The 15229-nt window shown below is 43.4% G+C and overlaps 1 protein-coding gene and 1 long non-coding RNA gene across 5 annotated transcripts, besides 7 other annotated features; both read left to right on the top strand.

The window, feature by feature from the left end:
- Positions 17-256: a silencer, noted in NCBI's record as "silent region_16444". NCBI's record gives its function as "represses an Ori minimal core promoter by ATAC-STARR-seq in GM12878 lymphoblastoid cells {active_cell/tissue: GM12878}" and the evidence as "EXISTENCE:reporter gene assay evidence [ECO:0000049][PMID:35858748]".
- Positions 627-706: a silencer, noted in NCBI's record as "silent region_16443". NCBI's record gives its function as "represses an Ori minimal core promoter by ATAC-STARR-seq in GM12878 lymphoblastoid cells {active_cell/tissue: GM12878}" and the evidence as "EXISTENCE:reporter gene assay evidence [ECO:0000049][PMID:35858748]".
- On the top strand, positions 4724-11071 carry LOC124900193 (uncharacterized). Of its 2 annotated transcripts, none has more exons than XM_047417989.1 (4): positions 4724-6209; positions 7532-7697; positions 8231-8406; positions 9827-11071. In XM_047417989.1, the coding sequence occupies exon 1, from the start codon at positions 5008-5010 to the stop codon at positions 5932-5934; it is 927 nt and encodes a 308-aa protein (XP_047273945.1). In that variant the 5' UTR covers positions 4724-5007; the 3' UTR covers positions 5935-6209; positions 7532-7697; positions 8231-8406; positions 9827-11071. The 2 variants fall into 2 exon arrangements, with proteins under 2 accessions (XP_047273945.1, XP_047273946.1); XM_047417990.1 differs by having other exon boundaries at positions 8214-8406.
- Positions 5170-5671: an enhancer, noted in NCBI's record as "H3K4me1 hESC enhancer chr5:139487907-139488408 (GRCh37/hg19 assembly coordinates)". NCBI's record gives its function as "activates a minimal SCP1, AML or CMV promoter by ChIP-STARR-seq in primed H9 embryonic stem cells {active_cell/tissue: H9 hESC(primed)}" and the evidence as "EXISTENCE:reporter gene assay evidence [ECO:0000049][PMID:30033119]".
- Positions 5822-6081: a silencer, noted in NCBI's record as "silent region_16442". NCBI's record gives its function as "represses an Ori minimal core promoter by ATAC-STARR-seq in GM12878 lymphoblastoid cells {active_cell/tissue: GM12878}" and the evidence as "EXISTENCE:reporter gene assay evidence [ECO:0000049][PMID:35858748]".
- MALINC1 (mitosis associated long intergenic non-coding RNA 1) lies at positions 5981-11071 on the top strand. 3 transcript variants are annotated; one of them, NR_102741.1, is made up of 4 exons: positions 5981-6584; positions 7503-7697; positions 8231-8406; positions 9827-11071. It is a non-coding gene; the product is annotated as a mitosis associated long intergenic non-coding RNA 1 (long non-coding RNA). The 3 variants fall into 3 exon arrangements; NR_102740.1 differs by having other exon boundaries at positions 5981-6894; positions 7532-7697; NR_102739.1 differs by having other exon boundaries at positions 5981-7697.
- Positions 6092-6151: a silencer, noted in NCBI's record as "silent region_16441". NCBI's record gives its function as "represses an Ori minimal core promoter by ATAC-STARR-seq in GM12878 lymphoblastoid cells {active_cell/tissue: GM12878}" and the evidence as "EXISTENCE:reporter gene assay evidence [ECO:0000049][PMID:35858748]".
- Positions 6182-6251: a silencer, noted in NCBI's record as "silent region_16440". NCBI's record gives its function as "represses an Ori minimal core promoter by ATAC-STARR-seq in GM12878 lymphoblastoid cells {active_cell/tissue: GM12878}" and the evidence as "EXISTENCE:reporter gene assay evidence [ECO:0000049][PMID:35858748]".
- Positions 6782-6881: an enhancer, noted in NCBI's record as "active region_23259". NCBI's record gives its function as "activates an Ori minimal core promoter by ATAC-STARR-seq in GM12878 lymphoblastoid cells {active_cell/tissue: GM12878}" and the evidence as "EXISTENCE:reporter gene assay evidence [ECO:0000049][PMID:35858748]".
- Positions 11072-15229: the final 4158 nt, after the last annotated feature.

Genomic DNA, 15229 nt, shown 5'->3' with positions numbered 1-15229 from the left:
CCCAGTACAGTAGCAGGGCGCCCTACTGTACGCGCCCACCCGCCCGCCGGCACGTGACCTGCGCCCCCTCCCCGCTGCCAGCCCCCCGTCCGCCCGCCCGCCAGGCGGCGCCCACCCACCGGCCCTCACCCTACAACCCTGGCTGGGTGGGGGAGAGGGAGCAGGACGCGCAGCGTCGCAGCTGCTGCTGCCGCTGCTGCCGCCACCACTGCTACCACCACCACCACCACCACCACCACCGTGGCTGTCGCTGTTGGGCAGACCCTAGGCGGCCTCGGCCTGGGGAGTTAGGGGACTAGGGGTGAGAAGGAGTCTGCCATACTAAGCACAGAGAGTGGGCCTAAGCTCTGCTTTCCAGTGACCCCCCAAAGAGGATGTAGGAGGAGGGGCCTGCGCGGCGCAGCAGAGCCCCCTGCAAAGAGGGGACACCGAGTCACGGCCACCCCCTCTCATGCGGGCCTCAGCAAGACCCAAACCCAAACCTAGACAGGCCCACCCGCCACCCGGCTGGGTTGTCTCCTACCGCAGAGCCTTGGCCGCTGAGGCAGGCAAAGAAGAGAGGTGGTGCGGTGGTAACCCTTAGCTGCAGAGGGGGCTGCTGGGGATGAGGTCGGGGCGCCGGCAGCAGTGGCGTGGAGCAGCAGACACCTAGCCTGTCCCTCCCCTCTCTCTCCCGCCGCTCCCCCTCCCCGCACACACGGCAGTGGCTCTGGCCTCAGATGATCCCGCTCCCCCCTCCCCCCAACCGCAGCCCCGCACAGTCGGGCGGGCGGGCGCACTCACCGATGGGGGGAGCCGAGCAGAGGACAGTAGACGCACCAGGGCTAGGGTGCCCGCAGTGACTGTTCCCGTCGACTCTGCCCTTCCCCACATGCAACAATCAAAAAGAAACTCCACACTCACCCAAAAACCTGCAGCCAGTCCCCCTTGGGACCACGACTGACTGCCTGCCCGCCCGCCTCCCCCTCCTCCTTCTGAGATTTGGGGAAGGGGGGCACCCTGCTCAGGGCTGAGCCCAGCCTGAGTTGCTGGCCAGCTCTGCGGATGAACCAGGCCCTGTGAGCATTCAGACCCTAGCCCACTCTTCTTCCTTTCTGGAAGGACCCAGAATGGAGGAGAAAACCAAGCAGGCTTTCGGAAATTCATGAGCTAAAAATGTCAGGAATTTCCTGGGAAACGCAGTTCCTTACGGGATTCATTAAAGCAGGTTCGCTTGCCCCTTTTACTCTTCCCAGAAACTTGTGTCAAGGAGAGATCCCACTCCCAAAAGTAACATATTAAGTGGTCGCTGGTTTTTATGCAGACAGCTAAGTTGCTGACCATTAATTAACCAGTGAGTCTTTGGACGGTGATAGCTAAAAAGGATCTTCTCTGGTATTAGGGGCTCAGGAGTAGAGGAGCTCAGAGATACCTGATTTCTCTTTTACTAGACCTGACGTATAACCTAGGGCTTATTTCCAGATAGGTATTGAGTGCTTGTACTCTCTCACTGCAGTCTGCAGCCCTGGCACTCTGGGGAAAGCTAAGGCCTATCTCCAGGGGACCCCCCCCTGCCAATGCGCCCACTCTCTCCCCCATCACCTTCTACAGGCAGCTGAGAGACACAGATCACACAGCTCTGCCCCTGGCTTTCTCAAGCACAGATCGTTGCCTCTATCCTGAGAAAAGTATACCTATTCCATTTGTGGGTTCTATTCCCATTGAGCATCTCCCGCTTCCCCCAAAAGTAAGGAGACTTGCCTCCCTCACTCTTAGCCCGAGGGACAACTGGGAATATGATTGCCCAGCTTCCTAGAAAAGAGTGGACTAACGATCAAGAAACCAAGAGCAGGCTAGGGAATAAGCCTTGCTGATTCCTGAACCCTCAAAGCCCCCCTTACCATATCTCTTCACCTCCTGAACAAACTTGCCTGCTAGGTATTCACAGCTTCCTTTTTCTCTTAGAAAGAGCCCCATTCTACTCAGCATTAGCTACTTCAGCCCTGGGCTGAAGTTTGCGACTTCCTACTGAAAAGAAACAAGAAGCACCTGGCCACCAAGGAGCAAACAGGCGCTGTCCTGTGCACCCGTCTCAGAACCACCCACCTATGTCCAGTGGTCCCTGAAATGGCTCTCTGAAGGGAAGGCTCCACACCAAGAGATAAAAACCCAGACTTTGGGCCCCATAAAGAACTTCCCCTTATTTGGGAGGCAACCTCTAGTACCCTGTAGTACTCTTTCCGTGTTGATTTTTTCTGCACTCCTTCCCCTGTCCCAAAGTCTATTGAGAAGGGGACACAGGAACTTTTGAAGCACTTTGAACTGCACAGAAATACACGTGTGAAGAAGCAGTAACTCCTCCAGGCTCGAACAGTAGCAATCAGGACTCTGGATAGACCCCAGCGCCTCCAGGGACAAAAAGGCTCAGTAGCAGGCTCTCCACAGAGAATGGAGTGGGACATTATGTTTCACTTGTAAACTGAGGCTAAGATCTGGTACAATCCGATCTAGAAGGGCTGCTGCTCTTCCTCAAGAGTTTACCTTGCGTCAAACCAAGCCCCTGCTCCCTAATGAAAACTCAAGGCAGCAACAAGGCCAATGAGAATACGATGAGGGCCCCACCCACCCCCCCTGCCAGTCCCTGCCTTTCTTCCGTGCTGATTGCTGCCCCCAGGACAGAAGACTAAGACTCGAAACTGCCCCGCCTTCCTATCCCAACTTCCCGCCTTCGTATCCCAACTTCCCGCCTTCCTATCCCGACTTGCAGTCTAAATTTTCTTGCCCTCCGTCCTAGACGTCTATATACAGGGATTCCGAATGATTTGAGTTTGGAAGTGCCCTGTTTTTCTGAAAAAGTGACTGCCACCAAGAACTGACTTCTTAGTTACCCAGCGCAGAGGCAACTGATGAAGTTTCCAGACAGAACACAAGTTGAATCTCATTTGTACACTTAAACTGGGAATTTTAAGGTCAAATCAGCAAATTACTGGGACCTAGATCTCTCCACATAAATATGTACTTGTTTTATGCTATTCATTATATATGTATAAAACTTTTGCCCTTATTTGCCAGCTTCTCTACTTTATATGTGTATCTAAAAAGCAAACAAGATTAACAATGCCTTTCCAAAATAATTCAATGATAAATAGGATTTTTAGCATATTTTCACTACTGAAACGAGAGTTAATTTCAGAATAAGCCTTTAAGTGTGGGCTTTTTCTCAGACTAAGGAGGTGAAAGGCAGCTTTCTTTGGGCTATAGTGTACAGTAGCCTTAAAAGGCAATCTGGGAGAAATGAATATAAACTTCCAGAAGTCTTAAAACAAAAAGTTTAAACTTTAAATAAAACTTCACAGTTATATTTGCATTGTAACACTGAAAAGTCATTAGAAAATAAGTGGATTTTAAGACTTCTAACCATTTGTTAATAATCTAAACAATATACTAACTTGGTGAATGAAGTCTGTTCTAGTATCCAGCTGTTTGAATTTGTTAATGTAAAACAAATAGTTGTAAAACTAAATGTATAATTTCATTAGAATGTAGGAAAGACAAAGGGAAAACGAAATATACAGCAAATTAATATGCAGCAAAAATCCATGTTAATGAAAAACATCAAAAAGTAAACATTTCCTTTCTCCTCACAATATGCTTACAAAGACATAATGTCTCTAGATTTCTTGAGCCCTTTTATTATTAATACAACAGACACATTTTAAAGAGAATAGAGACTGCTTTATTTTTAATCCCACTGTCTCTATGTATTTAACAAACTCTTACCAACAAAAAATTGTGCGCAAAGAAATACACATTAGGCAGAACAAAAAAGAAAAAAGCTTTAATTTTCTTCAGCCTGACTACAGGTGATTCTGAAATAATCTAATTCAGTTTTGGTTTTATAAAGTAAAAATCAACACACATTTATAAAATAGACTTGGAAAGAGGTTGTCTACCTCTGGGTAGTAAACCCTTCTGATTATAGAGTTCCTAATAGAAACAATATGTTGATTAATATTTTACAAAATCACAAATTTCCAAAATAAAGAACATTAGAGCTTGTGTTTTCAAGTGATACTTAGATTAAATACCAGTCTTAAACCAGACAACTATCTTCAATACCCAAATCATTAAAACTAACTGGGATGTTGTACTGTAAATGTTCAAAGTGGAGGAATTAGCCATTTCTTCTCATGACTGTCTACCAAAAAAATTGAGAAACTCTCAAATAAATCTTAACATTTAACAACAACAATGACTAATAGTAACAGCATTTCCCAGATCGTTCTTTAAAAGCGTATTCCTTTTCCATAGCTCACTTAATCTTGAAAATCATGCCTCTTCAATGCTATTTTAATGTTTCGGATTAAAGATATGAAGTAAACATTTAATATATGAAGAGAACAATCCACTTGATAAAAATCCTCGCATTTCCAAAATGTTTTCATTTTAAGCATTTGCAGAAGTTAAATAAATGTAGCAGACATTCTAAATTCGATAAAAAATTCAGAGAACCCGACATTTTATGTACCCCAAAGGTCCAAACAGAACCGATGTAAATGTCAATAGCTGTCTCCCTTCCGGCTGATACTTAAATGGTTTTACTAGTACTCAAAGCAATGAAATCAGCAACTCTCTCTCCACACTCTAGTCAACACTCCAATTTCCAAAGCCGCAATTCGCAAACGTCAGTTGGGCGGGGGCGGTGGGGGATCTTGAAGTAATCCAAAAATTTCCTTTCCCCTTTGACAGTCCACCAAAAGATGTCAAACCAAATCCAGCCTATTGTAAAGCTCTGGGACCTCCCTTCCAAGGACACCGAACACAAGCTTAGACACCGCTGCGAAAAGCTGTCCAAAAGCGCCTGGCCGGACAGAAATGTAAGGAGCCCAGGCCAAAACGAATTAGAACCCCCAACAGAGGGTCCCGCAGACACCGCGGAAAAGAAGGTGGCATTTATTCCGGGGTAGACAGCTACGAACCAGTTACCCCAGCCAGTCTCTGGGGGCTCTCCAACCCAAGTTCAGGTTTATGGCAGATATATTGGTTGGGTGCCTTCCCCTACAAACATCACAGCCCGCCTCCGGGGCCCACCGCCGCTCACAGAGAAGACCCCTCAGCTTCACATCCGTTCCTTTTGCCCTCGGACAAAGGCAGAGGAGCTGTGGAGCTGACCCAGCGCTGTGGGGCAGTAAAAATGCCTTGTTCGGGCCACCCATCTTTGGGCCCGGCTTCATCTGCGATGTCAGCACCAAAGGTTTTTTTTTTTTTTTTCCTGGTTTTGTTTTGTTTTTACAACGCATCCTGGGCGGGTGTATGCATTTGGTGGTAGTGGGGTGGGGGGAACCGAACAGAGGAGGGGTTGGCAGTGAAGCCTGGGTTATAGAACTCTCCTTCCTCTCCCTCCTTCCAGGGTTGCCGTGCAGGGAGTGTCAGCCACGTCTAGCGCACAGTCCCAGGCCCCAGGGCGAAGGCGGCCAGGGGAAATGGGGCTCAGGGATTGCTAAGCAAACGCATCACTGGTGGTCTCCAGCGCCTGCGGAGGTAGGATCGCCTCTTTTCTTAAGGGGCGTGTTATTTTGTTCTCTTTTGAAAGTAGGAGGGGGTTCATTCGTTTCTCGCTGCGGGGGGTGGGAGAGAACGTTGCTGCACCGCCTGGGTCTCCAAGAGGGAGGGTGCGGGGATGTCTGCAATGGTACTATAATTATTCCTGGGCTGAGAGAGCAAGTAAAGGGGACGGGGCGAGCGTCACCTGGAGCTGTGGCAGTGGCAGCAGGGAAGGTCGCGAGGGGCTTACCCGGGCGGGCGGGCGCTGTCCTGCCGCAGGTGAGGGAGGGCGCAGGCTGGCGGGAGGGAGGGCGCGCGCGAGACAGGCGCGAGGAAGGGGGGAGGGGAGGAGGGCGCGCGCGCGCACACCTGTCCTGGACAGCGGCGCTAGCCGAGCTGCGCCTCACTTAGGCTCTGCGGGCTGAGGAGGAAGGAGGGCGGGCTGGCGGGCGGGGGCGGGACGCCGAGGGGAGGAGGAGGAGGCGGCTCGGATGGCTGGCTCGGCTCTCGCTCGCTCTCCCTCCCATGGGCAAGTCCGGCTCACACCCTGCTTCTCCCGCTCACTCACAGCCCCCTTGGCTCTCCCTCCTCCTCCTCCTTCCCCTGCGGGATCCGCTCGCCGCCGCCGCCGCCGCCGCAGACGGCAAGTCGTGGCAGCCAGACGTCGGCGCGTAACCCGGCGCTCCGTGCGTGACTCCAGGCGACGTCAGCGCGCGCTCCGCGTTCCCCACCCCTCCTCCCAACTCCGTGGCTCGCGCCCTTCGCTCTCGCGTCCCTCCGTTTTAGCTGCCGCCGCGGCGGCCGCCGAGCGCGCTCTTTCCGCCCCCTTCTCGCGCGTGAGCGCGCCCTATCGGCTCCTGGCGCGTCAACATTCCGCGGGCCAGGCCTTGGGGCGCGTCTGAGGAGGGGGATGTCTGTGGCCTCTCCGCCCACACTTCCTCCACCCACCGCCCACAGCGCCCCAGAAGGACCTATTACTCGTTTGGCTTCTGAAGGCCGAAGCCAGGCTCTGGCGGGGATAGAACCCTGAAGGGCCTGCGCCAGCTCCAACTTAGGGCCCTGTGCGTCGTTGCGACTTCTGCTACCACCCTATCACGCGGCACCCCCGCCCCAACTCCGCCCGGGTCTCTGAAGAGGCAATAGGCCTTTCATCTCCGGGGAAAGTCTCACCTTGGCCCTCAGACACCCGCCAAGAGGGGTCGGAAGGACAGAATTAGCATAGAGAAGAGTGGCTAGAGCACTTTTCAGGCTCTGGCCCCAGGAATCCTTGACAGGAAGCGTGGGGTTGCTGCCCAGCCTCCCACGCAGTGTAATATGTTGAAGCCGGGCCCCTTTGAGGGAATGCGACTTCCTTGGGCCGAGGGGGAAAGGGTAAAAGTTAATTTTCATAAAATGCTATGCAAGGGCTAAATGTGAAATTATAAAATGTCCTTTAAGACAGTCTTCTTGAAATCGTATCAAGTTTGACAAGATTTTTGGTGCACGGTAACGCTTTTGCTCGCTTTCTACGCTGTCACGTCTCCATCCTGCAACACTGAATACGTAGATGGAACGTGGATCAGCTAATAACTGCAGCAAAATAAAAACTGCATTTATCATCTTTATCATTATTTAAATAGACCTCCGAGAAGTCAAACTGTGATTTAGGAAAACTTAATCATTGCCTCAACCTATTTAACTATTTTGTTTTGAAGTTACTTTGCAAATATACCACAAAATCCCTCTTTGTTAGGCAGTGGTAGACTTTTAAACTCACTTGTTAGAGAATCTTTCCCAGAAGCATATCTAGTTGAGCCTGCGAGGCAAGTAGGACTAAGGTATAATTACTCCCATTTTACAGATGAAAATTTAGTTATCAAAATGTAAGTCAGTTGTTCAGCATTGTGAGGAGTCTATCACTGATAAAGGGAAAACTCTAAGGTCTATTATTGCCTGCTTTATTCACTAAACCAGAAATCTCTCAATTGTTTTTTTCCAAGTATCTTTTGCTGCCTCTTACGTATTGTAGGCAGTGCCTGATGGCTGAGAAGAATCGCAGAGGACTAGAAAAGGTTTGAGTCTGAAATTATCTGGCACAGAGGATTAAAGCTCAGAAATAAGTGATTGCGAAACAGTTCAACTTCCCTGTTAATGACAACAACAACAGCAACACGCTTATTAATTCCTAGCTGGAGGTGAGAAAATGAGACTGGCTTAAGGGTGATGGGTCATTTCCTTTGAATTGCTTCTTTATATTCACCTCATCTTTAGGTGGCAGCACTACTATATAAATATCCTTCGAAGTACAGTCTTCTGCATCTTAATATCCTAAAGGATATTCTGTCCTAAATGTTTCCAACTGTATTGTGGAGATTAGAAACTGGTGATTTAATGATCTAAAATCATAGCTGAGAATTAGAAAACTTGGAGGTTCTAGAGGAGGAAAAACAAAGGCTATCAGACACATTAATAAAATACATGGAGCTACGGAGGGAAAACATTAGAAAGTTTCAAGAAAAAAGTTTTTTAGGTGTATGAGGAGCAAGTAGCATCTCTTTAAACCTTGTCTTTTATTGAAACATAGGACAAGATAACCTTCCAAAGCAAACCATCCTTTCTCAGTACTGCATATTTATCAAGCATTTACAGGTTCGAAGTTGCTAGTTATATAGTTGCTTGTACTCAACTGTAATTTAAAAATTCCGATGCAGTTTTTCCTAATTAACAGCATCAAGCTTATGAAGATTTCCAAGACTTTATTGTTGACCCTTGTTGAAGAGAACTCTACTTGGCTTCTTTCCTGGCTTTCCTAAATTGTTCACATACAAGATAAACTACCGTCATTCAGACTTACAGAAGTGAGAAGACAAGCTGAACCAAATGTAAAATGGTAGCAATTTACAGGTAATTCTGTATCTTAATTTCTCCCACATTTTTAGGGTAAAAAATTGTGATATATGGGGGTTATTTGGATCAAGTGTTTTCTAAGTAGAACTTTGTCATAATTAATTTTATGTATTTATAGTAGTTCTCCCTGTGTCCCTTTATCCAAGCAACACAATACAATTGAATTTATATGCATTTCAAAATAGACTCCATTTGATTTACCGTGTAAATACAACCACCAAGGAATATAGAGGTATGACAATCAGGAGTGAGAAATAAAAGCATTTCTGGATAGAGGATGAAGTGTTAATAGTCTTTCTTTATGGCGTCTTCCATCTATCTCAAGTCAAACTTGGAGGAGGAGTCTCAAGCAAATTGGTAGTACTCAAACTCTGCAGTATTATGTTAAGATTTTTAAGCTGTCTGGTGCCAACAAATCATGCAGCCTGGGGGCCTTTGCTCCAAACTTCTGCCAACTCCATTTTGGCAGTAAAATGTTCTGTTGAACAAAGTTTGCACGTGTTTAGGGTGTGAAGTGGTTCCTCAGGCATTTATCTAGTTTTATTCCAGTTTAGGGACTTGAAGACAAGGGTCAGAAGTGTGAGACTTGTAGACTTGATATGTGCACTGAAACATACTATATAGTAGCAATCTTGAATTTTTGGTTTAAGCAAGGACAGCTTTTTCTTTGTTGATACTGGAGTTATTAAAGTGAATCCTTTAGTTTACTCCTTAAAGGCTAACATGGTATCGAATTGGTTTTCATAAGCAGGTAAGCAGAACCCTCTCTGTTGAGGGTATAAAGCTGGGGAAAATCATTCCTCATCCTCCTAACTACACCACCACCAAAATGTGTTTATCCAGATGAAACTCACTAAACAATAACTTGAGAGCAAAGGGACCAGTAATTATTTAAACTTGATCTCATTTGTCAAATTTTATGTAACTATGAGTCTCTGATCTTTTTTAGTATCAGTTGTCTGGCTTCATCTTTTTAACCCATCTCCTCCCATTCTGGAATCATTGGTTAACAGCACCTGAGCCAGATGTGTGTGCTAATTTGTTTTATTCCAAGGGTTCCTCTTCCAATAGAAAATGTATACAATCTCAATTTCCATTATTTTTTTCAAGTAATTCTTACAGAAAATCCTTATAGAATGTGGGATAACAGTTTGAAAGTCATTGATTAAGTACTATTGAAGCATATTTTTCTTTATCATTTAAGAGTAATGGCAAGAATAAAATACCAAAGTAAAAGTAACAGATGTTGAAATGATACTGTTGTCTTACATTTACCATAATCAGCAAAATGTAAATTTGTAGGCTACAAGTATGACAATTTGAAAATGGTAGTTATTCTTGATACTTTTACAAAGAGTGTGACCTAAATTCTTATTTGCACCTTTATTTTCTTTCCTTGTTTTTAAACGTAATTCAGATGTCAGAACTAACATGTGGATGAACTTAGAGATGGAGAAGAAAGCTGGGCTTTTCCAAAGAGTGGATCTATCTGAACTGGATAGCACTATTGAACTTTGTTGCATATTTTGTGGTAGCTCTAAAACTCCTCTGCTTGCTTACATACAACCAGACACCAGTGCCTTCTGAAGCTAATCCAGGCCATTTTTATAACCTAATGCAGTAGCACTTTGCAATTAGATGAAGAAGATCGGTGGGATTTCTTTCTGTGGTGATTAAAATGTGTCAGGGGAAGAAATCAAGACAATACTCCAAGTGAAAAATATAAAGTCAGTTATTTCTTTAATATTTTGTGTTATAGTAATCATTTTTATATTTTGAGCATACTTTTTCTTGTCTACTTAAATACTCAAAATTAATTATAAAATGTAAATGTAAGCACAATGAGATACCATCTCATCCCAGTTAAAATGGCTTTTATCAAAAAGATAGGGAATAATGAATACTGGTGGAAGGATGTGGAGAATGGGGAACCCTCGTACACTGTCAATGAGAATGTAAATTAGTACAGCCACTATGGAAAACTGTATGGAAGTGCCTCCGAAAACAAAGTAGAACTACCATGTGATCCAGCAATTACACTAGTGGGTATATATTCAAAAGAAAGGAAATCAACATATTAAAGAGATAGCTGCATTCTCATGTTTATTGAAGTCCTGTTGAAATAGCCAAAATATGGAATCAACCTAAGTGCCCATCAGTGGATGAATGGTTAAAGAAAATGTGATTGATATGCAATGGAATATTATTCAGCCATAAAAAAGAATGAAATCCTGGCGGGGCACAGTGGCTCATGCAAGTAATCCCAGCACTGACCTCATGAAGACAGAGAGTAGATTGGTGGTTACCAGAGGTTGAGAAGGGGAGAGGAGAGGAGGGATGAAGAGAGGTTGATTGATGGATAGAAATATACAGTTTGATAATGATAAATCAGTAGGGTGACTATAGTTTATAATAACCTATTGTATGGTTCAAAATAGCTAAAAGAGAATAATTGAAATAACGTAAGACAAAAATTTAAGATGATAGATATCCCAATTACACTGATTTGATCTTTACAAATTATATGAATGTATTAAATTATTACATGTATCCCCAAAATATGTACAAGTATTTTGTATCAATAAAAAATAAAATTTAAGATAAAGTAAATGTAATGATTAGCTTATATTTCCTAGATCGGAAATAAATATTTACTTAAGTATGTTTATGATGAAGAGTTTTTTTATATTACTATAAAAATAGACACCTTACATAAACATATTACAGTTGGTGTTTAGATGGCTCTTTTTTTTCTGGCCTTGAATTTCTGGAAAGTAGGTATGGCCTGCTATGTCAGGACTAGTTCTTGGAATTCTTTGTTGTTTTTCAGTCAGCCTTATTTTCTTGGGTCATGTTTTGAACAATATTTATCAAATGTCTGTTTACCAGACGTTGTTCCAGATGCTTGAACAAAATGAAATGTCTGCTGTCATAGAGTTTCCAGTCTATGTAAGACAGTAAACAAATGTATAATATAATGCTAGATAGTGATAAGTGCTAAAAAGAAGAAGAAAATAGGAAAGGGGAAAGAGAGTTTCTGTGTGATTGTATGTGAAAGTGTCCATGCATGCCGCTCACCCAGTATTTTAAATAGAGTGATCAAGGAAGCCTGTCTGAAGAAGTAACATTTGAACAGAGATCTGAAATAGTCAGTCACGGGAACATTTAGGGAGATGTTCCAGGCAGGCATTGTGGACAATTTATGTCACAAAAAAGTCACCCAAGTGTTAAGTCAAGTAACATCCTGTATGATAACTATATATACATTTTTTTGTTTTTTCTTAAGTGAAAAACAAACTTATTAGGTTTTCTGGGTACTCATTAGGTTTTCAGAAAAGTTTTTCATTTAATATCATTATTGCTGTATATTTCCCTTAATGATTATTCTATTATTTAATACATAAGATTTATGGCTCTACAGATACAGCTTCACAATCCCTTATCTGTAATTCCAAAATACAAAAAAATTTCTTAATTCATTTAGTGGCAAAATCTGAACTGACATGAATCTATTTAAAATTATCCTTTATGGGCCAGGTGCAGTGGCTTACGCCTATAATCCCAGCACTTTGGGAGGCCAAGGCAGGAGGATCACTTGAGGCCAGGAGTTTGAGACCAGCCTGGCCAACATGGTGAAATCCCATTTCTCCTAAAAATACAAAAATTAGCTGGGTGTGGTGGCACATGCTTGTGGTCCCACCTACTTGGGAGGCTGAGGCACGAGAATCACTTGAACCTGGGAGGTGGAGGTTGCCGAGATCTTGCCACTGCACTCCAGCCTGGGTGACAGAGCGAAACTCTTGTCTCAAAAAAAAAAAAAGTATTTATTCCATTTAGTGTGACTACTGATACATTTCATTGTAGAAACATTAGTGTGTTTGATGAAGGGTTGCTACACATTAAGTAAAATATAGATAATACAATGTATTGTACCCTAAAATATAAAAAAAATTAAATCCAGAAACACGTGTTCCCAAGAATTTTGGATAAGGGATTGTAGATCTGTGTCAGATTTCTTCTTGATTTTCTGATTAAATGTTACCATTGTTGTTAATCTTTAGATACATTGTTTTTAGAAGTATAATGCTATATAGTGCCCTTATTATATACTGGCATTGCATAAGCACTCTATATATTAGCTAATAAAATGCTAACAACAACTTTATGAGTAAATTCTATTATTCCCATTTTATGGATGAGAACACTGAGACGCAGAGATTAAGACACCTGCCCAAATCACAGTTACTAAATAGCAGAGCTAGAACTCAGTCTTCCTCCATAGCTTGCACAATTTAAACTAACTCTGCCTTTTCCTTCTCCTCTCCTTTCCCCCACCCCATGCCTGTAGTATTTATATTTAACTTACTTTGAAGAAGTTTTGAGTATCAGCCCTTTCCAAGAGCATGATTTTTACATCTACTTTGAAATACCAGACATCAACATTTTACATTTTCTTTACAAATTGGTGTCTCTCAATATTTTTAAAAATTGTATTTGTTCCTGCCCTAATTTCAGCCATTTCTGTTTCCAGTTGAAGTTGGAGATTTACTTATCCTCATTCTTGGTCTGTTAAGTTTTCACGCTAACATTAACTTTCACCATCCTTTTCCTTTCCTCTGAATATCTTTGGATAATTATGAGGCATTTCCTTTACTGTTGTGGCTTTGTCAGATGTCAGATCACATCAGAAATTTGGATCTACCAGGATGTACAAGGAACTCAAACATCTCAACAGCAAACAATCCAGTTTAAAAATGGGCAAATTATCTGAACAGACATTTCTCAAAAGAAGACATATAAATGGCCAAGAAATATATGAAAAAATGCTCAACATCACTAAGCATCAGGGAAATGCAAGTCAAAACCACAATGAGGTATCATCTCACCCCAGTTAGGATGAAGAGACAAAAAAATAACAAATGCTGATGAGGATGCAGAGAAAAGGGAACTCTTCTATCCTGGCAGGAATGTAAACTAGTAGAGCTACCATGGAGAACAGTATGGAGGTTTCTCAAAAAACTAGAAATAGAACTACCATATGATCCAGCAACCTCACTACTGGGCATTTATCCAAAAGAAAGTATATCGAAGAGACATCTGCATCCCCGTATTTATTGCAGCACTATTCACAATAGCCAAAATATGGAATCAACCCACAAGTCCAACAACAGGTGAATGAATAAAGAAAACGTAATGTATATATATATATATACACAATGGAATACTATTCAGCCATAAAAAAGAATGATATCCTGTCATTTGCAGCAACATGGATGGAAGTAGAGGACATTATGTTAAGTGAAATAAGCCAGGAACAGAAAGTTAAACACTGCATGTTCTCACTCATATGTGGAAGCTAAAAAAAGTTCGTCTCACAGAAGTAAAAAGTAGAACAGAGGATACTAGAGGCTGGGAAGGGTAGGGGAAAGGGAGAATAGGGAAAGATTTGTTAAAGGATACAAAATTACAGCTAGATAGGAGGAATAACTTCTAGTGTCCTACAGCACTGTAGGGTGACTATAGTTAACAGTAATACATAGTTTCAGATAGCTAGAAGGAGGACATTGAATGTTGCCAACAGAAAAAAAGACAAATGTTTGAGATGATAAATATGTTAATTACCCTAATCTGATCATTATACCTTGTCTGCATCAAAACATCACTATATACCTATAAATATATAAAATTATGTGTCAATTAAAAAATAAAATTTTAAAAATTTAGATCTAGTTTGCTGAGCAGAAGCACCTGTTAAGTGAAACCCTGTAGGTTTCTCTCACTTAATGAATTGCATTGTTTCAGATCACTTTGTTTTAGGCATATTAAATATGTGTTTTTGAGTTGGAATTGATTTTTTTTTTCATTAGTTTGCCCTTAGGTAAGGGTTCTTCCATAAGCAATCAGAAACTGAGGTAAGCTGGACTTGGTGGCTCACGCCTGTAATCTCAACACTTTGGGAGGCTGCGGTGGGAGGATATTTGGAGCCCAGGAGTTTGAGACCAACTTGAGCAAGCTAGCGAGACCCTATCCCTAAAAAAAGGTTTTTTGTTTTTTTGTTTTTTTTTGAGACGGAGTCTGCTCTGTCGCCCAAGTTGGAGTGCAGTGGCGCAATCTCGGCTCACTGCAAGCTCCACCTCCCTGGTTCACACCATTCTCCTGCCTCAGCCTCCCGAGTAGCTGGGACTACAGGCGCCCACCACCATGCCTGGCTAATTTTTTGTATTCTTAGTAGAGACGGGGTTTCACTGTGTTAGACAGGATGGTCTCAATCTCCTGATCTCGTGATCTGCCCGCCTCGGCCTCCCAAAGTTCTGGGATTACAGGTATGAGCACCTCGCCTGGCAAAAAAAGTTTTTTTTAAAAGAATTAGCTGGGTGTGGTAGTGCATGCCTTTTGTCCTAGCTACTTGGGAGGCTAGGTAGGAGGATTGCTTGAGCCCAGGAGTTCTACGTTAGGGTTAGCTGTGATAGTACCACTGCATTCCAGCCCGGGTGACAGAGCAAGACCCTGCCTCTAAACAAACAAATTTTAAAAATGAAAGATTCTATTATTTTTTGTTTGTTTGTTTATTTTGAGACAGAGTCTCGCTCTGTTGCCCAGGCTGGAGTATAGTGGCATGATCTCGGCTCACTGCAACCTCCGCCTCCCGGGTTCAAGTGATTGTCCTACCTCAGCCTCCTGAGTAGCTGGGACTACAGGTGCATGCCACCACACCCAGCTAATTTTTGTATTTTTAGTAGAGATGGGGTTTCGCCATGTTGGCCAGGATGGTCTTGATCTCCTGACTTCGTGATTCACCTGCCTCGGCCTCCCAAAGTGC

Source organism: Homo sapiens, chromosome 5 (genome assembly GCF_000001405.40).
Source record: "Homo sapiens chromosome 5, GRCh38.p14 Primary Assembly".
In the NCBI taxonomy this organism is placed as follows: Eukaryota; Metazoa; Chordata; class Mammalia; order Primates; family Hominidae; genus Homo; species Homo sapiens.
This window is presented reverse-complemented; position numbering and strand designations above follow the sequence as displayed.